This window comes from Homo sapiens, chromosome 2 (assembly GCF_000001405.40).
Source record: "Homo sapiens chromosome 2, GRCh38.p14 Primary Assembly".
NCBI classification, from domain to species: Eukaryota; Metazoa; Chordata; class Mammalia; order Primates; family Hominidae; genus Homo; species Homo sapiens.
Window position 1 is genome coordinate 187,339,348 of NC_000002.12, and position 27,933 is coordinate 187,367,280.

The 27,933-nt window shown below is 32.7% G+C and overlaps 1 protein-coding gene and 1 long non-coding RNA gene across 9 annotated transcripts in view; one reads left to right on the plus strand and one right to left on the minus strand.

Annotated features, from left to right (window-relative positions):
• Window positions 1–27,933, plus strand: part of CALCRL-AS1 (CALCRL and TFPI antisense RNA 1) — a 544,253-nt gene that overhangs the window by 336,075 nt on the left and 180,245 nt on the right. The gene's annotated exons all lie outside the window — the stretch shown is intronic.
• Window positions 2,617–27,933, minus strand: part of CALCRL (calcitonin receptor like receptor) — a 106,289-nt gene continuing 80,972 nt past the window's right edge. For all 6 annotated transcript variants that reach the window (NM_001271751.2, NM_005795.6, NM_001369434.1 and 3 more), the window contains 7 exons: window positions 24,029–24,155; window positions 21,251–21,404; window positions 19,865–19,925; window positions 19,716–19,782; window positions 12,767–12,985; window positions 12,573–12,614; window positions 2,617–7,052 (listed from right to left, as the gene is read on the minus strand). In NM_001271751.2, coding sequence (NP_001258680.1) covers window positions 6,837–7,052; window positions 12,573–12,614; window positions 12,767–12,985; window positions 19,716–19,782; window positions 19,865–19,925; window positions 21,251–21,404; window positions 24,029–24,155 — 886 coding nt within the window. In that variant the 3' untranslated portion in view covers window positions 2,617–6,836. The remainder of the gene's footprint in view (window positions 7,053–12,572; window positions 12,615–12,766; window positions 12,986–19,715; window positions 19,783–19,864; window positions 19,926–21,250; window positions 21,405–24,028; window positions 24,156–27,933) is intronic.

Consider the following 27,933-nt stretch of genomic DNA (forward strand, 5'->3'; position numbering starts at 1 on the left):
CTTCTCAGTTGCATTATTATTCTTATTAAGAACCTGCATTAGAACTTTTACTTTTGAAAATTTTCACTATTAACCACAGACATTGTGATTTCTGTCATACACATATTATATCTGATCATTTTGTTTTACACTGATGCTTTCCCTGATGCTCTGCTGTAAGCTATAGACAAGAGTTTTGTCTTTAATACTGAAGGATAAACACACAAGCCCTTGGGAAAAAAAATTACAAGGCACTTCAGACTGTTGGCATGTGAAAAAACAGATGCATGAGTACGCGCTTGCACTTTCCATATAAGTGGAGTGAACCAGGATTTTGAGAGCATTTTTTCTCTGGTATCTGGCTTTTTTGGTTGCACAGGAGATGGCTTCATGAGATTGCTAATCTGAGATCCAGTTGAACAATAATTAATTTCATAAGACTGAAACAATTGATGAGGGCAATTTTATTGTGTTACTTGTGTGAAATGTTGATTTTGTTTTCATATTCTACTTACTGGATATATAGCTCAAACTCTTCTGTCTCATCTTAAGATCTCTAATCCACAATAATTGTATAAATATTGCTTTTAAAGTGAAACAATACATTTAGAAATAATAGTAGATTCTAACTTACCCTCAGAATTTTAGGGGAAAAAACATATTAAATATCCTTACTTTTCATGATAATATAGTTAATTGCATAAATCCAGTAAGAATGTACCTTCCTTTCTACCAGTATATAATAGGACAAATGGATTATACACTAAAGGACTTATGTGGAGTGTCATATATCAGAATAATGGTCATCAAATTATGCTCATATTGGGGAACAAAGTTTGACTATTTTATGGAGCCAATGCCCATAATGCTTTCCCAGGAAAACTGGCCTGGTATCTAAATCGCCTGGTAACTGGCTACACGTCCCAGCCTTATAGGTGATAAGGAAGGTCAATTTCAGGAATGCTAGAGATTACAACAAATTTTAGGGACTTTGAGGAAAAAGAAATATATTCAAATTTATAGACATAGCAGATGAAATCTGATAGACTTCTTGTGCATAGTTTATTACTGTCAAAGATAGCAAATAATATAGGCTTTCAAAAATCCAATTCAATATTCCGTTTTAAAACTTCCAGGCAGAAGTTAAATTTGTAACCATAGTGGTTGCTCAGTACTTTATAGTTAACAAATTAGATAAATTAGATGAAATGGACAAATTTCCAGAAGAAAACAAACTACTGAAACTGGCTCAAGAAGAAATAGACAATCTAAATAGACCTATATTAAGTAAAGATTAAATCAGTAACTAGACAACTACCTATATCTGGCTAGGGCCTAGATAGCTTCACCACTGAATTTATTAAAGAAGAATTAATACCAGTTATTCACAAATTCTTGCAAACCTGGAAGAGAAGGGACTACTTTCCATAACTTTCTAAGAAGTCAGTATTACTCTAATATCAAAACTACACAAATCTCAGCACTTTTGGAGGCCAAAGCTGATGGGTCAGTTGAGGCCAGCAGTTCAAGACCAGCCTGGCCAATATGGTGAAATCCTGTCTCTACTAAATATATATGTATATATTTATATTATATATTTATATTTATAGTATATATACTATAGTATATATTTAGTATATTCTGCAAGAGATCCAGAATAGCAAAAACAATTGTGAAAAAGAAGAATAAAACAGAATTCATACTTTCTGATTTCAAACTCACTACAAACAAAGGTAATAATGACAGTGTGGTTTGAGCACAAGGACAGACATATATATATATATATATATATATATATATATATATATATATATATATATATATATATATATGAAATAGAATTTTAAAATAAACCCATGAATCTATGGCTGATTGCTTTTTGATAAGGATGCCAAGACCTTTCAATGGGGAAAATGGTCTTTTCAACAAATGATCCTAGAACAAATAGCCACATTCAAAAATATATGAAGCTAGACCCTTACCTCACACCACATACAAAAATTAACTCAAAATGGATCAATGACCTATAATTTTCTATAAATTTCTTAGAAGATTTTATAGGAGTAAATCTTCATGATTTTGAATTTGGCTAAGGATTCTTAGATGTGACACTAAAAGCATGACCAACAAAAGAAAAAAATGTACTTAATAAATAATTGTTACCTTTTATGCATCAAAGGACACAATTAAGAAAGGGACAAGACAATTCACAGAATGGGAGAAAGTATTTGCAAATTATCTGAAAAGAGACCTATACATATATATTTGCAGATGTGAGTGTGTGAGACTATATATATATACATATTGATATATATATATATCAATAATAAAAAGACAACCAAATTAATAATGGACCAATAATCTGAATAAATATTCCTCCAAAAAAGATTACACATGGCCAATAGATGCTTGACATCTTTAACCATCAGAGAAATGAAAATTAAACTACCAGGTACCATTTCACATCCATTAGGATGTCTAAAATAAAAAAGACAGGTAATAACAAGTGTTGAGAAAAATGGAGAATTCAGAACCCTTCATACACTGCTGGTGGGAATGTAAAATGATCTGGCTGTTTTGCAAATGTCCTGAAAAGAAATGAAAACTTTTTTACAAACAAAAACTTGCAAACAAATGTTTATAGGTATATTATTTATAATAACCAAAAGGTAAAAGCAAAACAAACATATCCATCAACAGACAAATGAATAAATAAAATGTGGTATGTTCACCCAATGGAATAAAAGGAAACATTGATACATGCCAAAACATGAATGAATTTTAAAAACATAAGTGAAATCATTTAGTCACAAAAGGTCACATACTATATGATTACAATCATATGAAAGTCTAGAATAGGGAAATCTGTTGAGACAGAATGTAAATTAGTGATGTTTATAGCTGAAATGAAAGTAGAGATAGAGGGATAGAGAAGTGATGGCTAAAGGATACACTGTTTCTTCTCAAGGTCATAAAAATGTAATGAAATTGGTGATGGTAGCGTGTCTCTATGGATGTATTAAAATATACTCTACTAATATACTAAAAACTGCTTTGAATATGAAGTATTATATGATATGTCAAGTATATCTCAATGAAGCTGTTAAAAAGTGCACTATGGTTCTAGATTTGTAAAACCAACTTGAGGAGGTCTATATTGTAATTAACACTCTCATGTACCTATCTCAACAATAGGCCAAACCTTATTAAACTAGCAATATTTTTAATCAAGAATATTCTTTCTTTGAGATTAGTATAATCACAAGGAGGAGAGATTATAAGAAAAAAACACAAGTGTTTTAAATGGGCATTTTCTCCAGAAAACAGAAAATGATGTACATTATTATTGATCATAAAAATAAAAATTAGTTATTAAGTGGAATGCAACTGATTATTGCCCTAAGGATAGAGTGGTTTTGCACTTATTTATAAATTTATTTCAACATTTTTAATATTCTCATATAGTGTGATATTTTGAATTCTCCTTTGAATTTTTGTAACATCTTACTTGTTCCTTCATTAATTAATGAGTTAAACGAAATCTTTGAAACATTTTCATTTTATATTTGTGTGAGAGCCATGAATATGCCCTCTTTAAAAATTACCTTTAAATACTTATTTTTCTTTCTAATATTTAAACAAAACTACAAAATGAAATATAGTAGATAAAGGAGATGAATTTCTGAACATTTTCTTATTTTGAGACATCCTTTTTCTTCTTTCAGCATAAGAAGGAGTTTGCATCCATTGTAGTATAGTTGGATTTTTTTAGTTTGAAAAACAAATCATGACTTTTTCTTAATTGGTTTATTGAATTCATTTACTGGTTTACTGAAGACTTTAAAGAGGGCAAAAGATATATTTTGTTAAGAGATTTGTTAATTTTGAGAAGTATCCCATTGATTACTGTAAGAATTATGTTTATAAATTAGATTATTTGGCACTGTAGTAAATATCAGTGAAAATAAACTTTAACTCATAACTTTAATATTTTCATACAATCAAAAAATAGAGATATACTCTAGGCATAACATAAATTGTTATAATTGATCAGAATATCTTGAATATATTTTTACAGATAACTAGTGGTTTCTACTAGCAGATTAAAACCAAGAGAAAATTAAAAGTAAGTTCACATTTAAAAAAAATTATAAGCAATAAATACAGCACTACAGCCACCACTAATTCTATATACATTGGATTACATTTAAACAAACACTGCATTCCAGAATGAATATTTTATGAATAAATGCATTGGAAATTAACTTTAGGAAATAAAATGACAAATTAGAATTTAGAAAATTAAAATATGACTTTCACAAGTAATCACAGTAAAATGCAGATCTACATTTTAAAAGCTAGAAATTTCCCCAAATTTATTTTTTTGACAGCAAAGAAGTTTGCTTTAAAAAAAGTGTCAGATTTACTTTGCTTTATGAGTATGATACAAAGATATTAAGTAGCATTTAGCTTTTGAGAAATCTAACATTTAAAACTATTCTAAAAATATATGGGTACAAAACTAACAGTGATTAATCATGAATGACTGCTACGCCTCAAGACTCTACAACAGACAAACCCTGGCTATAAAATAAATCTGATCTAGAATTAATATTATAAAAGCACAACAAAAATACTTGAAAATTACATGTTTATTTTAATATAATCTCTGATCATTCAACATTTTTTACTGTCACTTCTACTGTCAAGATGGTTGAGAGTTGACAGTTTGTCTAGAAGAAGGCTGATATATGTCAACATGGTCAGCAAAGGATTTAAATATGGGTCTTTGAATAATAAATAGCTAATAATTGAGTTTATTAAAATGAATTTTTGTATAATTTAGGCAGTTGAAGGTCTAGAACAGCCTGCGTTCCTTTCTATGGCAGCTTGCTATGAAATTCATGTTTCAAACAAAACAATACTTTTTCATGCATAGATAAATTATAAATGTACTGACCAGACCATTCTATATGTTAATTCTTACGAATTTAGATAATTTGTCTTAGCAATTTGAAATAAGTTCTGAACTCACCATCTATTGACATATTGACAGCTTAAGAAACAACTTATGATGAGTAATTTGTTTCATCCATTTTAATCAGATTGACACACTTAAAAAACAGATACCCATGACTTTTCCCAAAATTGACTTTTACTAATTGAAGTCATTCTTGTTCTTTAGAGATTTCAGCGGAAAATAACATTAGAGAAACTGAATCCCATGCAAATTTCACTTTAATTCATTAGCAAGGTTTTCTTCTATCTTTATTTAATAAAGTCTGACAATAATTCAGTAAGATCTGACAATAATTTTTTCTCAATGATATATTCAAGTATTTCCCTAATTTGTATTATATACAGTAGCTCTATTAAAATATTAAAGCATTGTATATGGTATATATAGTATCCTTCTAGTTTTTTATATTTCTTGAATAGCCTGGGACATTTCCAAAGCTATATATCTTCACATAGTAAAAGTCAGTAAAGTAATATTTTAATGGGGTAAAATCTATAAAAGTAGCAGATTGGTATTTATCACAGTAGTTGTTTAAAATTTCTGGATTAGAATGTGAGTTCATTGTCAAAATGAAAAAAGAAATATGTCAAACACACCTATTATTAAGGTATGAGTTATCAAAACAAATATATTCAATAAAATAGTGACCTTGTGTTTTTAAAATAAATATATCTTATGATAGATGTTTCTGTTCTCTTAGTTCTCAAACAGACTTCTGATGCTGGCATCTGGTTGTCTTTAAAATATTTACCAAATATAGCATTCCAGACTCTATTTTATTTAAAAAATCAGCCCAGATACAGTATCAGATATTAACATACACACATTGTTGCATTATATATTTGCTTTAAAAATTACATAGGTTGTATGTATTTGATTTGAGACTATAAAATAAAATAATGGAGTATTTACAAGCTCATTTTTCACAATTTCTTTTTACAAAATTCCAAGAAAATAAGAAATCCTTCATTGATTTTCTTTATATAAAATGATTGCTAATTTGTTTATACAGTAGAAATGGAAGGGACAAAATTTATATTTACAGCTAGGAATTCCCTCCCACTGTTTGGTAAGACAGGAAGAGGTTGACAAGGTGTTTTGTAGCATCAACTAAGATGTTTTCCTAATGATATAGAAGTAGGATTGCATATTATACATCCTGTTCATCCAGTTTCCACAATGGATATGCCACAAGATATAACTGATGTGTCAGCAAATGAGTAGATCATAACAATTGTACTCAGTTGCTTTTCATAGAGAAAAGAAAGCCAGCAGGGATAATTCACTTCTGGTATTGTCCATTTGAGAGGGTAGTTACAAAAAGGACTACGGCACTCTGGGCAAAAAAAAAGTCAACTGCCCCAATCAAGATGGGATAAAGAGTTTTAAAACTAAAAGCTAATTTTCCCTTCATGTTTATAGACCTTAGCTAGGTCTCTTGGGGCAATAAGGGTAGAATCATGCCCAACATGTATGTTTAGTTTTACAGCCATTTGTTTGTGAATTCATGCAATGGTGTGCTGGAACTGGCTTACACCAGCTCAGAAAAGTTGATTGTGCTTTTCTCCAATTCCACACTTGGTGATGTCAGGTTAGTAGCGTCACATCAGGCATAGTGGGAGTATTTACTGACAAACATTACAAACCAGGATTTCTTTTTTCCCACATAGAGCTGGATGTTACACTCTTATCAACACACTACTAATTTCATGTGAAGGCTCTTCTTTATGACATTCAAAAAGTCATTTAATATTGAAGTCTTCTGGCTACAGAGTCATGGGTCCAAGTCCTTGAGTTAGGAGAAGCACAAAACAGTGAGACAACCATCCTTCTATTTTCAATTATATAAATTTTCTGGTTTTAAGAGAACATTTTCAATATCATGGATGCTTTTTCCATTTAAGTGTTCACTAGGACAGTCATGACTATAACCTGGACCATCACTGATTGTTGACACTGTGTAAGACGCACTACGAAGAGCTTCTGAGTTGGAAAAGCTGTTTCCAAATTGGATTTTGTATTGATTCCAGTTTCTTCTCAGAATTGCTTGAACCTATCAATCAAAAGGAAAACAGAAAGAACAAGAACAACCCATTAATTGAAATGAAGACACTGTTTTTGAAGCACAATTAAATAGGTCTTGGAGAAGAGCTTTTTTAAAAAAAGTTATGTTAATCAGTGAATAATATAGCTTCATTTTCTTAATTTAAAAAATTAAGTGTACCATCTTCACATTAGGAAATGTATTACAATTACATTGTACTTTACATTCCATTAATATTTTTCATGGCATGTTTTGTCTTCAAAGCTTTTATAATTCATATGTATTTATTGTTGCCAAACAAATAGGTAATCTGGACCCCCATTTACAAGATTTCATGTGCAACATTGAGTTTTATATTAATGTCTTTATTAATAGAATGAGAAGACAATTCGTGACAGGATAAGCGAAAGATACACAAAAGAAAAGAAGTTAGGATACGAAGAATACAAATCAGCAGCAGCAGCAGCAGGGCAGTAGCAGCAACCTTTGTTTCTGAGTGACTCCCATATGCCAGAAATTGTGCTACATTCTAAAAAAGGGAGCATGATATTTGTCTTCATGGAGCTTACTACATAGAGGAAAGAAAAGTGTTGAACAAATAATTATAAATCTGGTGAATATTGTGAAAAATAAATTTAGGAATGTAACCACTCCATTTTTATATATTTGAATCCTCTTCTGCTGAATAAATTTGCAGTTTAATGACTTCCTTCCCCTCTGTTTGAAGCTAGAGATCAGGGGTAGGTGGGTCCTATACAGTAAAATATTGGTCATAATGGAATGTAAGGCACAAGAGTGAATTTTCTTCATTGTCAGTCAATGGGCACAAATGAGAACATTTAAATACATCTCTAGCTCAAGTACGTTGAGGACTTTTCCATGTCTGATGAGTGAGCACACTGGCTTGGAGCAGCCTGCTTTTAGGTTATGAATGTGTTAGCCAAATCCTTGTGACCCGATCTATATCTGCCCAGAGTGGGTTTGCTTTGAATGGTCTTCCCCAAGCTCTCTATTGCTCTTTGGCTCTTTCAGTGCTTTTCCAAAGGGAATCTGAGCATCTCACAGCAATTTTCTGGTAATTCATTTTCTACGTACTGAGGTATAATTGTTTAACTTTCTACTACTTATATAGAATTCCTCAACTTTCTCTTCACTATATCCATGTATACAAATCAATATTAAATCTTTAAAAAGGGCTTACTTCTCTCTTGTTATTTCCTAGTCTAATGGATTAAAACACACACACACACACATACACACACACACAAAACCTCAATTCCTCCAATTACAAACATTCTATAGAAAATAGGTGTTCCAGGATGTCTGCAGCTTTACAGGATACTTCAGAGTTCCTGTTAAAGTATCTTATAGTCTGTCACTTAAAATAAACTCAAAGTTTTATTGTCTCATTTCATGTAGGAAAAAAGAAGGAGCAAATATAAAGCCAACAATGTGTTTAGGTAAAATTAAATGAGGTATTAAAATTATCAGTTAATTTCACTCTACTATATAGTTCAAAAATTATATAATTAAAATGAAATAACTTCGTATTGAAAGTTACATTATGATGAAGTTCAGTAACTTCAGCCCTTTCAAGCTCAATTTAAAAAATATATGGTAACCATATCTGAAGAAAACAATTTATATTCATGTAAATATGCTTTGAAAATAAAAGCATTTATAAGGCAACAAATTTATTTATCTTGCAAAAATTAAACTTTCCTCTCAATTTAGTAATATAATTCTAAATCCTCCGTATAAAATATCTAAATTCAGATAATTTAAAAATAACATCTGCATATGTAACAACCTCAAGATCATGAGCAAACTACAAATTGAATGGCTTCAGATTGTGAATTTTAAATACATATTCAGAGATTCAAAATAAAAATGACCATTGACCAATTATCTAGATACATCTGATGAGAAATATTTTTGATCCTTATTTTTTGTTTCATAAACTTCTCCTAATTTTGTTACTAAATGCTGAATTGGTTGAGTATGTAATCAATATAGTTTCTGGTTGAGGGGAAGTGGCATATAGCTTTGTATAAAAAATTCTATATAAAGTATGAGAAAAAGCTGAGAGGAAGTAATATCTTAGCTGTGAGTCTAGTACTTATAGTCTTAAAAAGGAAAGCTTAAATTCAATTTGGAAGGAAAATGGCTATTGAAATATATGACTGTTTGCTCTTAAAATATCTACTTTGATTAAGGTCATCACTCTATTTCTTCCTTGCAACTAAATCATCAGAAAAACCATAGAAAGCCAATTTCATGAACTGTGAGGTCTTACTATAGTTAAAAATAAACCTAATTAAAGATCCACAGGCCTTGTAGACTTGTTTGTTTATGTTATTTGCTCTAAGGATGTTACATTTTTCTTCTGCTTCCTCTAATACAATATCACACCTGTTAAATACGACATTAAAGCAGCTACTCTTAATAAACTTTTAATGAGAAAAAATCAGTAGGAGCAAATTTCCATTGTAAGGGAAGATAGCTGGGTGTTATTAAAGATATGAATGTTTTTATTGTTTTATGCATGACCATGTATAAGTAGTAAGGCAAATGTTTAGAATGTAACATTACAACTTTATATACCCATTAACACCCAATAAGGAACTAACTTTATACTCCTTAATGGGAATCAATTTAAAATATTTACGAAACTTTTATAAAAATTCTACGTAGTTCTCATGAAAGAATTTGGGTTTAATTGTCTGTCCTCAACAAAACTTTTTGCTCATCTTATGGAATATCTACCCTCAGGTGTTGTTAAATATAACCTTCTGATGACTAGAGTCCCTAGTTTATGATCACAGTGCACATTTTTGTCTGAGGGCACTAGGGATAAAATGAAAGTAATCCAAGCACTTGTCAAGCCACATTTATTTAACTAGTGAGAAATGCTAATAGCAAGACGTTAGCTAAAAAGTGCATAAAAGGTGGGAAAGAAAAAAACACAAATATTAAGCTAAAGGCAGGCATTTGACCTAATGTGGAAAACAAGAAGGAAACTAAGCCTGAGCAAATGATTTTAAGAAGTACATGACATAGTTGGAACAAAATGAATTTGGCAGTTGTTTCTTCATGTTATGAGAGTGGGAAAAAGTAAGAGGCATTGAGACAAAAAGGGAGGGATCACAGTATTTCTTAAGAAGAGAAATGAATCATACTGAAACAGGGATTGTATCTCCAGAGATGAAGAAAAGGAACAGATATTAGAAATGTTGTGAGGAACTGAAAGATTTGGGAACAACCTAGCTCAAACATTGTGTATTATTGTAATTTTCCAATGTCAAAATTTTCTCAATTTTAGGACATGGCAGAAGATCAAGGTTCTGTGTCCCTTTTGTTTACACAGATCGAGTGTAACAGGAGTGTTAGGCATTACTTTAGATATTCCCTGGGCACTCTTTCTAAATAAAAGAGCCAATTTGGGATTTTGATCCAAAATGATTAATGTTCCTGTTGGCACATGTGTTTTTGAAAATAAGTGATTTGACAAATCAAATAATAAGTATACTGAGAATCTCATGAAGTGGGGCATGGTGCTAAAAACTTTATCTTTCTTAGCTTGTATTTATTTTTCTGAGACCTGTGTAGAGAACTTGCTTTAATTTCCCTTTAAGAAAGATAGACACAGGCTCCTGAAATTTGCCAGCATTTGCCAAAATATCACAGCCAAGATGAAAAGTAGCATCTTTGGTGATTAAATGCATTGCTGTGTTTATTCTACACTGCCTCCTGTTACAAAATATTTTACTAGTGAGTGTGTTTTGAATATTTAAAAATTAGTTCATGGAATTAAAATCTGTTTCTGTAGATACAGAGGTCTACCTTTCCTATTTCATGCATGTTCTTTAGCATGTTGTCCATATCACTCTCATCTATATTTAATTATTACATCCTATACAAGTAGCATTTAGGGTTGTCTAATTCAGTGTATATAACATTAAATTTATAGAGGTATATAATAAAATCTATTTGAATTTTACTATCAAACAAATGATTTATCTATTTTTTGTAACTGCATTCTGTCTATGCTTCTCTGATTTCAGAAAAAGTTGCTCTTGTCTTCTGTATAGCAGAAGAATTATGGAAGTACCACTTAAATGTATGAAATATAGTCTACAATGTGTGGCAACTCTACACCTCATTACAAATAAATAAATATAGATAAATAATAATAATATAAATAAATACGTGTTGAACTTGAGATATATTTTAATTAAAAACTAAACATTGAGTTTTATTATATGTCAAGATGAGGAAGTAAAAATATTACTTAAGCAAGCGCAAATAACATGTTATAGTTTTTCATGATGTGTGCATGATTTCCAATGTTCATTTGTTTTATAGGAATGGTTGTCATAGGTTATACCAACTGGTCCCATGTGTTCCCCATCTGAAGCTTTATGATAAGCTTCACATTATCAAGTGTCTGTGTCTCACTCAGCTGCTGTCTGGATTTCTAAACTTTGTTCAATTTTGCCAAAATCCTCCTACAGGTTAAATTGTGTCGAGCAGATTAAAAACATATAAAGAGCTAAGTCAATAGAGCTCAGATTACTGAGCTATAACACATTTGTATGCATAAGAAATATGTTGGCTGGGCGCGGTGGCTCACGCCTGTAATCCCAGCACTTTGGGAGGCCGAGGCGGGCGGATCACAAGGTCAGGAGATCGAGACCATCTTGGCTAACACGGTGAAACCCCGTCTCTACTAAAAATACAAAAAATTAGCCGGGCGCGGTGGCGGGCGCCTGTAGTCCCAGCTACTCGGGAGGCTGAGGCAGGAGAATGGCGTGAACCTGGGAGGCGGAGCTTGCAGTGAGCCGAGATTGCGCCACTGCAATCCGGCCTGGGCTAAACAGCGGGACTCCGTCTCAAAAAAAAAAAAAAAAGAAATATGTTACCAGCTTTCAAAATGCCTGAAACTTCCCAAGTAGGAAACGCATGGATAAAAATCTAGAAGTACTGAAGAGTACATGGTCATGTTATGAATTAGAGCATTCTCTTCTAAATTTCCTAACCCATTGAATTTCTTCCCTGTATAACCAAGAGTTTAATTTTTAAAATCCTTTCGTATTTGCCATAAAGTTGTTTCCATAGGCTACATTGTAAGACAGGCAAAAAAGAGAAAGAGGGAAAATGAGATGATCCTATTTCTTATTTCCTATTAGAGTGTATGTTCTATGAGATTTGGGATTGCCTGGCACTGTATCTGGGGAAAAGCTCAGACTTAATGGGACTCAAAGGTATCTCAAAAGATTAGATGAATAGCATTTGAAATATTTTTAAGTGAGGTTGACTTTTCCCTGGCTTTGAACTCCAATATGACCTGAGCATTTGAGAAGGAGAGTTAAACCTATGGTAAGAGATTCTATGGTTCTTTCCCTGATGGAAACAGAATTTAACATGGTTGTTCCTGGGGAATTTATAATTTTATCTCATTTAAATACATGGATAGATAGACAGATAGCAAATATAAAATAATAGAAGGAATAAAATCAATTATCATACCTCTCCATTAAAGAAGCAGAAAATGGTAGAGACCAAAAGACCCTGTAAAAGAAAAATAGAATGATCTGAATCCAAATGGAAAGATACATGTATTTGTAATCAAATAGCTGTACAAGTAGTCAGGAGTAAACCAAAGCTATATGTATATTTAATTCCAAACTTCTCAAGCTGCCTTCTTATCAAGAATGCCATACCTGGAAGTGCATAAGGATGTGCATGATGTAGTCATATACCTCCTCTGCAATCTTTCCTTCAGGTCGCCATGGAATCAGCACAAATTCAATGCCAAGCAATGGCACCAAGATAAGAGTAGCTCTCACAGCTTTCATGTACAGATTGGATTCCGCTTGGTGTGTAACTTTTAACTTGGTGATGAGAACGCGTACAATATTTAACAAGAAAAAAAGATTCACCTAAAAACGAAATTAAATGGCATCTGAAAATCATTTCATATTTAATATTAAGAAGCATTATTCAAGTATCTCCAATTTTATAAATCTTAAAATATTTTTAATGTACAAGAATATTTTTAAAGGGTATTATTGCCTAAGGCATTAATTTATATTTCTGGAATTGTGATTTATCAATTTAACAAGTACATCAATTTTAATAAACAAGTTTTAAAAAAGTAAAATTAAATTATGGTATAATTACTGTGGAACATATTCAGTTGAAGAATATTTCAGTTTTTCTCAGCTCATTTTCACGTGCAATTAAAAAAATCTGTGGTCTAAAAACTAAAGATTTTGAACATTTTCATATCAAAGAAAATAATTGTTTATGGAAAAATGCTAATTTTTAAAGCATCCCCTCTTTATCATGTCCATATGACATACTTTCTAAATGTATATTATACCATAATAACCATTTTCATCTTTCAAACCAAAAACTTTCCTGTTTCTTCTAGTAACAATAATCTTTACAACACCTCTCCAAAGTATCACTGTAATCCTCTTTTACTTATGAGGGAACTTTGAACCAGCTGATATTCAACCCCAGTCATTCTAGAGCTAAAATAATTTGACATTCTATAAGACTTCCTGTTAATTACTGTCTGCAATGACATAATATTCACTATTTTTGTGCCTCAACAACTTTCTCGAAGAGACAGTAGTTTCTTTGGATGGGAGACATAAACCTTTGACACTCTAATGTGACTCAGCAAACAGGGTCCTACTGAAACATATTTATTTCTCTTTCTCTCGCATAATACAAGTTTATCTTTCTCTTATTTTCACCCAAGTTAGAGTTTATCTCTTTCTTATTTTCACCCAGTCAATATCTTTTACTTTGGTCCATTTTCTCTATGCCCATTCCTTATGCCTTCCATAGAATCATGAATATTAATTCCAGAAGAGCTCCATAGGGGCTAATTGCTATTCTCTTTTCTTTTTCCTCACCCTTAGTTCTGGCATCTGCCCTTTGTTTAATAATCTTAAATTTTCAATCTATGCACCAAATATAATTTATATCCACACAGTTTAAAAATTGCAAAAAATAGTAGTTTCCCATTTATTATAGAAAAGAATTAACAGAGAGCCTGCATTTGCTAAATGGACACATGTGTCATAAAAATAACTGGGCACAAAAATATTCTACCACTATTTTTAGAAAATTTAATAGAACATATGCTTCAAAAATATACAGCTCACTAAAATCCTAATGGAAACACATCTATGAAAAGCAATGTTTGCAGACACAGAAATACGATAAAGGCAAAAGCAGAATAAGCCATTTCAACAGGTGTGAGAATGAAATGTGACAAATCAACATGTCAGCTGTTATTCCACTCATCCTAATATATTCCCTTCTTAAGCATCCATTGCTCTTTAAAAAAAGATAATAATGCTCTTTTATCTGCTTAATATCAAATATTTTATAATCTTAATACATTAAATCATAAACTATAAAAAGACAGTAGAAACATTGCAATTTAGATGATCCCAATTATATGAAAATTTTTAAATGCAAAGTGCTTCTCCACATGGGAAGTCTGATTTAAAATGTGAAACTAGAAACTAGAGTTGACAATAGAGTTTATTCTATTAGCTATTTTATAAATAATTGTCTTAGAATGAATTGGATGCTATTTTTCCACACAACATAGTTTTGAGAATTATAATCCCTTCATCTTACTTTATTTTCTGTAAATATTTCCATTTACTATAAGCAAAAATAAAAGAAGAATTTTAAATTTTAGAAGAACTATGTCTGAATTTCACCCACCCTTGAGCAAAACTAGTTCAGTAGAAAAGAAGAAACCTTTAACTGACATACTCATAAAGTTTACATAGCTAGTAGGCCCATCAGGCTATTTTGATATCACAGTACCACGCTTGGGTCATGACAGGAACTGGGGTAAATCTATACAGTGGCTGTAGGACAGTTTCTGGAAGTCATTCCCAGACAATCACTTAACTATGCACTGAAGTCACCTAAATATCTGTCACTGAACCCAAATTAAATGTATCATCTCTCAACTTCCCCTCAACAGGATCTCAAAAATGCTGTAGTCACTCCAGTACCACCCTGCTCACATGGAAATGTGATGGAGGAAGTCTGAGTGGAATGACTTGTGATTAAAATATCTTATTTATAAAAATTGTGCAAAAACATATGATAACCATGAGAACAATTACTAGGGCTCTTCTGAGGAGCTTGGAATTGGCCAGGACCAAGAAGGAGCTCTGGAGCTTAAACAAGGACAGAATGATTTATCCGGACAGAAAAATAGGTTCCTAATCTTGTTTTAGGCCAACAAGATGGGAAAGTTTTAGGCAAATAATGTGGATTTTCGCTTCTTTTCTTACTGACCAGCTTGATGGGCTATATTCCTGTATTTCATCCTTACTCTTCTTCCTTAAAGTTTACATGAACAGATGTTTCCAAGGATAGTGTAGATGACGTTACATTTTGCATTTGCTAGGTGCTTTCACTTCCTGAACCTTACTGATTTAGAAGTCTGAATCATGTACCCCTCTGTGCAGCCAGATCTTTTGTAATAAAATATTGTCTTGCATTTGTTCTGGAATCTCCTGGGTAGCCCAAACGATATATTATAATTTCTTCAAGCTCTCCTCAGAGTAGAAGCATGGTATCATGCAGAAACTACAAGTGAGGAAACTTGGAAGGCATTTTTTCAAGAATTTATAATATTCTATGCACTAACTGTGCCAGATCACTTAACAGAAAGCATCTCATTTAATCCTTATAATACCCTGTGAGGTATATATTCTTATTATTCCATCATTACAGATGAGAAAACAAAGACACAGAGAGGTTAAAAACAAAATAAAACAGAAAACTTGCTCTGAGATGATACACAGGCAGCTGTGGTAGAGCCAGGATTCAGTGCTGACTCTTTTATGCACACAATGCAAAGCCAGGCAGTCTCAGGGTACAACTTAAACACAGTATGTCACTCATGCCCTTAGAATGTAGGAGAAGGAAGGGAGGCAAGTGCCTCTGCCTTTGAAATTTTCACTATAATCTACATTAAGGTATATCAAAAAATGTTATGAAAGTCATAATAAATTCTATAAGAATGGCTTAACAATGATACATTTTGAGAATGGTTTGAACAGTGATCCAACGCAACCATATACTAAACTGCAGCTAGCAAATATAGTTAAATAATAGAATATCTGTATTTAAAAAGAGTCTGAAGAGACGAATGAGGAAGCTTTGAATTTTACATGAAAAATATCACATACATACACAAGCACATATATAAATAACTTGATCGCAGCTGTAAATAAAGGGTATTTGAATAGGAGGAGAGGAAGTCAAATTGTCTGTTTGCAGATGACATAACTGTATATTTAGAAAACCCCATCGACTCAGCCAAAAAACTCCTTAAGCTGATAAGCAACTTTAGCAAAGTCTCAGGATACAAAATCAATGTGCAAAAATCACAAGCATTCCTATACAACAATAATAGACAAACAGAGAGCTAAATCATGAGTCAACTCTCAATCACAAATGCTACAAAGAGAATAAAATATCTAGGAATACAACTTCCAAGGGAAGTGAAGGACCTCTTCAAGGAGAACTACAAACCACTGCTCAAGGAAATAGGAGAGGACACAAACAAATGAAAAAACATTCCATGCTCATACATAGAAGAATCAATATCGTGAAAATGGCCATACTACCCAAAGTAATTTATAGATTCAATGCTATCCCCATCAAGCTACTATTGACTTTCTTCACAGAATTAGGAAAAACTACTTTACGTTTCATATGGAACCAAAAAAAGAGCCTGTATAGCCAAGACTAAGCAATCCTAAACAAAAAGAACAAAGCTGGAGGCGTCACGCTACCTGACTTCAAACCATACTACAAGGCCACATTAGCCAAAACAGCATGGTACTGGTACCAAAACAGATACATAGACCAATTAAACAGAACAGAGGCCTTAGAAATAACACCACACTTCTACAACCATCTGATCTTTCACAAACCTGACAAAAACCAGCAATGGGGAAAGGATTCCCTATAAAATAAATGGTGTTGGGAAAACTGGCTAGCCATATGTAGAAAACTGAAACTGGACCCTTTCTTTATACCTTATACAAAAAATAACTCAAGATGCATGAAAGACTTAAAAGTAAGACCTAAAACCATAAAAACCCTAGAAGAAAAGCGAGGCAATATCATTCAGGACATAGGCATGGGCAAAGACTTCATGACTAAAACACTAAGAGCAATGGCAACAAAAGCCAAAATTGACAAACGGGATCTAATTAAACTAAAGAGCTTCTGCACAGCAAAACAATCACCAGAGTGAACAGGCTACCTACAGAATGGGAGAAATTTTTTGCAATCTACCCATGTGACAAAGGGCTAATATCCAGAATCTACAAAGAACTTAAACAAATTTACAAGAAATAAACAATCAACGCCATCAAAAAGTGGGCAAATGATATGAACAGGCACTTCTCAAAAGAAGACATTTATGCAGCCAACAAACATATGAAAAAAAGCTAATCATGACTGGTCATTAGAGAAATGCAAATCAAAACCACAATGAGATACCATCTCACACCAGTTAGAATGGTGATCATTAAAATGTCAGGAAACAACAGATGCTGGAGAGGATGTGGAGAAATAAGAACACTTTTACAATGTTGGTGGGAGTGTAAATTAGTTCAACCATTGTGGAAGACAGTATGGTGACTCCTCAAGGATCTAGAACCAGAAATACCATTTGACCCAGCAATCCCATTACTGGGTATATACCCAAAGGATTATAAATCATTCTACTATAAAGACACATGTACACGTATGTTTTCTTGCAGCACTATTCACAATAGCAAAGACTTGAAACCAAACCAAATGCCCATCAATGATAGACTGGATAAAGAAAATGTGGCATATATACACCATGGAATACTATGCAGCCATAAAAAGAATGAATTCATGTCCTATGCAGGGACATGGATGAAGCTAGAAATGATCATTCTCAGCAAACTAACACAGGAACAGAAAACCAATCATTGCATGTTCTCACTCATAAGTGGGAGTTGAACAATGAGAAAATATGGACATAGGGAGGGGAACATCATACACTGGGGCCTGTCGGGGGGTGGGGGTGAGGGGAGGGATAGCATTAGGAGAAATACATAATGCATGTGGCGCTTAAAACCCAAATGACAGTCCCCAGAGTGTGATGTTCCCCTTCCTGTGTCCATGTGTTCTCATTGTTCAATTCCCACCTATGTTGTGGGGTCGGGGGAGGGGGGAGGGACAGCATTGGGAGATATACCTAATGCTAGATGACGAGTTAGTGGGTGCAGCGCACCAGCATGGCACATGTATACATATGTAACTAACCTGCACATTGTGCACATGTACCCTAAAACTTAAAGTATAATAATAATAAAAACAACAACAACAATGAAAGAAAAAAAAAGACCCAAATGACAGGTTGACGGGTGCAGCAAACCACCATGGCACATGCATATGTATGTAACAAACCTGCACGTTCTGCACATGTATCCCAGAACTTAAAGTATAACAACAACAACAACAAAATGAATAGCAGCTGTAACTAAAATACCACTCCTAAGGACTGTAATTGCACTATGATCTCTAATACTCTCTGAGACAAAGCATGCTAGATTGCTAGTTTGTATTAATTTACTTTCTCATTCAAATAATGTAATACACTTGTAATCCCAGCAGTTGTGGAGGCCACGGCAGAAGGATCACTGCAGCCCAAGAGTTCAAGACCAGCCTGGGCAACATAGTGAGATCCTGTCTCTATAAAAAAAAATTTTTAAAAATTATCCAAGCATAGTAGTGTATACGTATAGTCTTAGCTTCTCAAGAGCCTGAGGTGGGAGGATCCCTTAAACCCAGGAGTTGGGGGCTGCAGTGAGCTGTGATCATTCTACTGCACTCTAGTCTGGGCAACAGAGCAAGACCTTTTTTCAATTAAAATAATAAAAATAATAATAGTGTAATAAAAGCATCGAATGTGACTTCTGTTTTCCTGCAATTACACTAAAATGTCTAATTCATGCACTCACATTAACTGATAATAATTATAATGTAAAATTTGCATAGGTATTTTGTTTTTTCTTATTTGTCACCTCCCACCCCCCCCTGCTAGATTCATCCTCTATTCCTCTCTGTGCCACAGGAGGATGATGTCTGTGAACAGCTTCACCCAGACTTCCTTGCCCTGAGACATTTGCTGCATCTGGCTAATTGGAAAAACCAAAAGATAAGAGTATGGGAATAAAGATAAATTTGAGTCTTTGTTTCTGCTGCTTCTATTCTGCCAGGCTGTGGTTTTGGCAGTGGTTGTTTTTCTCTACTCAAGATCAGATCTCTTACTGGGTGACTCCTCCCAATGCTCATTTCACTGCACTAACATTTCTCTCTTCAGGTCTAGCTGTGATAACAGCATTCCATTGTTGGTCCCTAATGGCTCACCATCCCTTACTAATTAGTTCCTTTGCCTTTCCTGCGCATACATCAGATATGATACCTTCACTAAACGCTATTCATTTAAGCACTGTGAACATGCATGTCCATCTGTGTCCACTGGGACCCTGAAGGATACCATAGGCCAGATGATTCAGAAATAAAGTTGAAATGTGAGCAATGATAAGGAAAGGAGAATTTGTTACATACCAGTAAAGCAGCACAAATTGGGCCATGGATAATGTAGAGGAGATGGGTATCAGAACTGATCCAGCAACTAGAGAAAACATAATAACATTATGTTGAAAATTTTTATTTTACATTATTCCAGTAGAAATAATAAAAAGAGATTTTCTTACTTGTCATTGTAATATAAGCTTCTAGCAATGGCATGTATACAAGCAGGAATCAGTGGAAATCCTGTAATAACAAAAAAAAAAGAAAATAAATAGGCATTTTTTCTACAGATGGTATTTCAAAAATATGTAATTAAATACAAAAATTCAAAGATACTCTAGGAGCAAAAAAACTAGCCACTATATATTTGTTGAATAAACATTATTTGTATCATCAACAATACACATTATAAAGTATTAGGTATTTACATTTTTGTGTTTGTGTGTTTATGTGTGTATGTTTTCTTCTACTATAATTCATAAGTCATTTTGAATCAGTGGACTTCAGAGCTTAACTCTTAAGATGTGTTTCCTAAGCCACAAGGATTAGAAGAAATTCAGCATTCGTGTACTTTCTGTGAGATGGAATTGGCCAACATTTGGTACATTATCAGATGTGGAAAAAAGTTGAGAATCACAAGAACTTCCACTATGAGAGAGATTACTACTAGTAAGCCATTATTTGAAGAAGAGAAGAAGAAAAAAAGTGATTAATTTATGTACCAAAAATTTGGCAGCCTTTGAACATTCTAAATCAGCTCTTCCAAATATGTAATTAAGCAATGCTTTATAAAGTTAATCAGAATACACTAAAATTGTGGGTGTGCGTGTGTGTGTATATATACACCTCTGTATATGTATTTCTTTCTAGATATAGATAGTTTAGATAGATGATAGAGATATAGATAGATAGATGATAGGGTAGATAGATGATAATAGATAAGTACAACTTCAGTTTTGTTTCTGGAAACTAGTCCTGTTAAATTCATTTCTGCACTTCATATTTTGTATTATTCTAGTTATTTTTAATATGTCAGAAGTATATCACTGTTTGCTTTGTGAATAATACCACATCAGGATATTGTGTAGAAAAAATAAATCTTTTGCATGCCTTTATTCAATTACTAATCCCTCTACTCTTACCGTAAAATGACAATATTTTAAACAAATATTTTTAGAATGGAACTTCAAAGATGTTTGAACCCAATGCTCTCATTTTACACGTGGCAAAAATGAATATTCAGAATGGTACAAAGACTAAATCTTTAATTTATGATTCTACTTCTATTGTTTTAGTCACTACATATTCAGCCAAGATACCCTATTCATTGGCATATTCAATAGAAAAAAAGACACTATTATATATTGACTTGTGACTACTGAAAACAATGGATGAGTCAGTGATACTTTGCTTAAAATGTTGCAATTTACAAGAATAAGCAAAAGTTAATCACCTGATATTCTTTAAAAATGATTACTCATTGGTATATTCATATTACAAAGGAACCTGGCATCCTCCAAAGGCTTCTTTAATCCACTGAATCAACAAGTATGTATAATAACACTTACCCCAGCCAAGAAAATAATACCACATTAAATGTTGCTTCTCTGCAAACACGGCCACCACAATGAGTGTGTGTAGGTAAATGCCTTCACAGAGCATCCAAAAGTAATTACAGCCCATCAGGTAAAGATGAATGAACTGGGACACTTTGCAACTAACCTGTGAGGAAAAAAAAAACCCCAATATTTACTTGTTTATGAATTCACATGTAAAGCAATACTCTAGTTTAGCTCAGGAAACATGGAACATTCTCCCCTACACACAAAATCCTATACATTAATGATTAGGATTTGTGGAATGCCAGTCTTCGTATTCATGTAATGATGCCTTTAGTTTTTAGCCACAGACTCCAAAGATTGATAATGGTATATCTTCCAGAAAAAAAGTGTAACTTCTAAATCTACTTTATTTAGTGAATGTGTATTTTCTGAATGTGTTTTTGTTGTTATGTAATTATAAGTATAAAAGTGTCACACATAAATAACTTTACACTTATTTATATCATCATGAATCCCTTGACTGTTACATTCTGTTGGAAATAATAGTAATTTTAAAACCAATTCATTAAAAGTGCCCAAATACTTGAAAAGTTTGCATATTACATGCTCCTCATGCAAATGCTTATTAAGAAATAATCTAATACATCCATAGGTTATCCTATCCAAATATGGAGTCTGAGGGCTTTGTGTAAGTAAAAGGAGGACAAAATTATGGTTTCCCTTCCATTTTTCCTGAGGTCTCCATTTTTGCTTCTCTACTTTTAAACAGGCAGGAAGAGAGACATTCAAATTACAGTAAAGAAAACACAAAAGAGTAAGAGTGAGTTTACTCTTAAACAGGAGAATACAATTAAAGCTTTCCCAAAAATACATGACCTGTTACTCCTATTGGCTCCAGTTTCTAGTCTGAAAATCAATAAAAGTTTAGTGGCAATTATCATTATTTTTGAAATAGTTTTTTTAACCAAAAATAAAATTGAAAAGAAAATGCACTGGATTGTTAATATTGGGTCATCACAGAATAGTAATAATGGCATCTGCATAGGAGTCAGCCTAAAAATACTTTTACATATATTGTTTTATTTAATTCTTAACGGTAGTCCTATGAGGTGTACATTATCATAGGCATATATTTTATAGATAAAAAAACTTAGTACCAGAGAAGTTAAATGATTTGCTAATATTTATACATCAATCAAATCTACAACCTGAACATTCCAATTTTGTTTTCATTATATACGATGCCTCCTAACTAAAGGATATTTGTAAAACCTATTTATTCATTAAATGTATCTGCAGAATACGTAACATTAAATTTTAAATAATGTACCTGTATGTAAAACACAGCATTATATTAAAGTTCACTCAAAGGTGAAAATGAGATAGTCTACTATATGGAGAGAAATCATAAATTTCAGCTTCAACTTTTTATCTAAAGAGTTTTTAAGTATTTATATTTAATTCGGCTTCTAATTCTTGATTTCATTAAAAAAGTTAATCGATAAACCATTACAATAAAAAAGAATTAAGAGCATACTGCAGAAAAATATTTCTATGCAGGGCATTAGTAACAGAGACAAAACAAAAATATATGACAATTTATAATGTGTTTATTAAACACATCTTTGCGTACAAATATGAGATTTAGAATCTCATGCTCTGCAGCTTCAAGACAAAACTCTGAATCTCCTTGTCTTACAGAAATTCACTCTAAAATGGCAGGACATTAGCCAGATTTTTATGTTGCTAATTATACCCCAGTGTGTTTTCTAATCCAATGACTTTAGAGTGGAACATATACAAGATTAAGCAATCTGGATGCACAGGTGCAAACAATGCAGGGACTTTTAGAATTTTGAAAATTACTCTAAAAACACACATAAAACACACATGAGACTGTTTATTGACCCACTTGGTAAAAATTCTTTCCCTTCCTGATTTCAGTCACTAGATAATTTTTTCTTTTAAAAAACACTTTATATAGACACACACACACACAAAATATAGTAAATATCCCATAAACATTATAAAAGCAGATAATTTTTAAAATTTGAATGTATGTTTATGTATGCAGATATTTTAATTTAAACATTTTACATATGCATATAGCTTACACAAAATATTTACATTTAGATAAGTAAATTTTAAACTGTTTGAAAAATATGGCCTGTAAGGCAACAATTTATAAATATTTATTGAGACTGAACACTGTAGTTTTTAAAACATTATGCTATGAAGTTTAATCTTATGTAGGATATGTACAATTCATTCTTTTCCTGGTTTTATTGACTTTTTAAAGTCAGCCTGATACAAAAAATATAATTTATTTAAATTTTCCATGTGCGTGTACTATTTTTCGAATTACGCAGAGTTCATTGCTTTGAGTTTTTCATTTGGATTGAATAAATATTATGTAGTGATAAACTATTATGTGCCATAGCAAGAGGACTCTACAGCTATAAAATGAAGTGAAGATATGTGTACATGTATAAATAATTGAAGCAAAGAAATTATTACACTTTTTTATGTTCACTCTGTATCTTGGGGAATACTGAGAATACTCTGAGGGAATACTCTGTAGAGTATATGTAGCTATATTCCAATGTAGAAAGGTAAATATTTCTCAATATTCCCCAAGATATAAAGACTTGAAAATATATATATATGTCAGACTTGAAAATATACATATATGTGTACTTAATTATACACATTATGCATATATCAGCCATGTTCCCCCTTTCCCATTAGGCCCTTGAACCAAGGGCACAATCTTGGTTTACTTACAGGATTTGTGGCTACTAAGGCCTGGTTGTTGGCCACTGCAGTGAGGTGAATGATTGTTACAACAGAGTTACAAACAAATGAGAAGAACAGATTTTTGTGTAAGGTAATCCTTTGGCAACTTAGGCTCCTAAAAAGCAAGAAAAACAAGTGTGTTGACATCATGAAATGTTTTTTTATTAATCATTATTCAAATAAGATACATTCCCAATTCATAGCAGCTGATCCACTTTTGAAACAATTATTTTTTCTCCCTAAGATCCACTCATTACAAAAATCTTAATTAGGGAAAACCTGTAAGTGCTTAAAACCTAGAGACAAATGAGTTGCTCCAGAAGAGGTAGATATACATAGGGATAGAAAATTTGCCTGTACAAGTCCTCTACATGACTTTCTCTATTAATTTCTGAACATAATTAATAGTTTAATTCATTTTGCAAACATTGGGATTCAGTTAAGTTAGATAATTGATCAAAACTCCTGCAGCTAATTAATTTGAACACTTTGTATTTGCTGTCAGATTCTCATGTGGATAACTTTTTTCATTACACCATATATATTGTTCTGTTTAAATAAAACTGTGTGTTTTGTTGTGATGGTGGTGATTACACAGACCGATCTGGAAAAAATAACAAAGTACTCAGAATAGATGAATTGATAAAAATGTAAATTTAGCAACCAATGAGATTTGCACAGCTTTACTGAATTTTTCTAATTGGTGCAGCCATATATAAGGTAAAAATAGTACCACCTTTTACTAGAGTTCCTCTTGTATAAAACAAAAGAGAGTTCACTGTGTGGAGTTCACATAGAAGTAGATTTCAAGAAAAAGTGTCACTAATGATAACTGATGTCACTCTTAGATTGAATCCACCTCCACTCTAAGAAGATTGTGCATATATGACTGCCTGCCCGTGTTCAAGCGCTACTTCCTTTATAATGCATTTACTCAAAGGCTTATTATGGATAAAGTTTTAAAATAGTAGTATGGGATCCACTTGAACCTGAATACTTAATGTCAAGTGTGAACTCATATGAAGGAAGACCTGAGGAATTATTTCACTACAGAGGCAAAAAATTTCATGATGTGTGTGTGTGTTTTTTTTTTAAATATGCTATTAATATGGTCAACCTATATAATCCACCATATATAATTCAAGCCAAAGGCTTCTATTTTGGAAACTTTAAGGAGATCTTTACCTAATTTTATCACTAAATCTCTTTATCTTAAATAGACTGTGTGCCCAGGATATTGGAATTAGGGTGGGATGCCACGGTTTTCTATATTTAAAAATTCAGTTTAGAGTATATTGCCTCTGAAATTACCTTTCTTCCAGCCACAGGTCTGTGATTCTATATATAGCTCTAGTAATTAAAGAGCCTGGAGGCATATTTGATCCAAATCAATATTATAAATTGTCAATATATTCCTTCTACAAGACTTCTATGAAGGGATTCATGGGCAAGATGGCTCTTGGAATGATTGCTGAGTGTGTGTAAGACATTCATATGCCAACAAATAAGTGAAATCCAGCTGGAATCCATCAAAATAGAAACAACTGGAACCAGCTAGTATTTTCATATTAAAGAGTGGTTTACTTTGGCTTGACTTTGTAGTGTATAGGAGTAGTGACGCAGACAGTAATCAGGGCTTATCTACAGGTTATTGATTATATTCTATAGAAAAAAAGAATCTTTGAAACTTTTGAACAAAGGAGTGGCATGATTCCTGCTATTACTTAGAGAAATTCAACACTAAGAGAAAGACAATCGTATTTTTGATAAAATGCCACAGCAGTGACATAATTACTTTCTGTTCATTGAGCATGAAGAGAGTTAATGAATATCAGAAAAAGTCTAGTAAATAATGTTCTTTTCAAATCAGTTATATTATGTGTGGTTTATTTCTGTCATTCATCAGTGTTCCATTATGAAAGTTATAGACATATAACATTTGTTCATATGGTCTTATTTTAAAATGCCTGCTTTGAGCTTACCCCATGTCTATTGAGTGCCAAGTATTGTTTAGAGAGAGGAACTGCTTATCCATGCAAATATACATGTTTTTAGTAATACAATATAAGTAACTCAGCTACCATCAAGGGAAAAAAAGTAAAGCATTTTTCTTAACTGGGCGATTTTGTCATTTTCTGCTGAGCACACATATATCTAAGTCCATTGGCTAAGTCCATATCTATAAACAACAAAATTTCATAGTTTTAAAACTATGACGAAAAGATTGAGAAGGTTTGCTTAAACAGCAAGTAAGATATATTTGTAAGAAGTAAGTTGGAATAAAGGAAAGCAAACATGAAAGAAGACTTTCAAAAATAGAACTATTCTGCCATTAAAAAAATGAACTTCTCTCATTCACCACATTACGGATGCAACTGGAGGACACTACATTAAATGAAATAAGCCATGAACAGAAAGAAAGACTGCATGCTCTCACTCACTTGTGGAAGCTTTAAGTAAGTTGATTGCATAGAAGAAAAAAAGTAGAACTAGAGGCTGGAAAGGGTAAGGGGAGAGTGGAGATGGGGAGAGATTTGTTAAAGGATACAAAATTACAGCTAGATAAGAGGAATAGGCCGGGCGCGGTGGCTCACGCCTGTAATCCCAGCACTTTGGGAGGCCGAGGCGGGTGGATCATGAGGTCAGGAGATCGAGACCATCCTGGCTAACAAGGTGAAACCCCGTCTCTACTAAAAATACAAAAAATTAGCCGGGCGCGGTGGCGGGCGCCTGTAGTCCCAGCTACTCGGGAGGCTGAGGCAGGAGAATGGCGTGAACCCGGGAAGCGGAGCTTGCAGTGAGCCGAGATTGCGCCACTGCAGTCCGCAGTCCGGCCTGGGCGACAGAGCGAGACTCCGTCTCAAAAAAAAAAAAAAAAAAAAGAGGAATAAATTCTAGTGTTCTATATCACTGTAGGATGACTATAGTTAATAATAAGTAGTTTTAAATAGCTAGAAGGATTATGTGGGCATATTGCATGATAGTAAAAATTAGAAAAAAATTAAAGATAGCTAGAAGAAGAATATTGAATTTTCCCAACACAAAGAAATTATAAATATTTGGGAAGATGGATATGCTAATTATGCTGATCTAATCACTATGTATTGTAGATTTCTAAACATCACTATGTACCCCATAAATATGCACAGTTATTTCATGTCAATTAAAAAGTGAAATAAAATAAATAACGTGATAGAAGAGCTGAAAGATAGGAGCTAGGAACATAATAAATACATTTATATTTTAACTGTTTATATTAATAATATTCACATGTGAAAAGATTGGAAGGGAGTAAAATAAAATGCTAACTGTAGTTAGTTGATAAAAAATTTAATCCTCTTGTATACAGTTAAAGGTTAATCCTCTTTGTATAAAGTTCAATGTCCTCTATGATGGTCTATATTTCTGTTCCTCTCAGAATTCCATTTTTTTTACCCTGCTCCCACCTCAATTTGTCTTGAAAGGTAAGTACTTAAAAATGAGCTGCTGGTATATATTATCTTCCAAAAATGTCATTATTGTGAGTATAACCCCACACACACACACACACACACACACACACACACACACACACACGACATCTTATTCTCTTATTATGGGATAAAAGGATATACCATATTTCTCTTTTTAAGACCCAAACAATATCATTATGGGCAAAGTTTTGAAATAATAGAATGAAATTCCCTTGAAATTTACTGAATGTTTAATACCAAGACAAAACAAGTTCTTAAGAAGATGCATTAAATAATTTCATTACAAAGACATTAATTTAGAGTGTTTTATACAATTATTGAAATAATGTGGTCAAACTAGATAGTCCACCCTATACAACTCAAACCAAAGACTGCTGCTTTGGAAATTCTGATATCCAGTTTAGCTGCCCAAATTTTAGT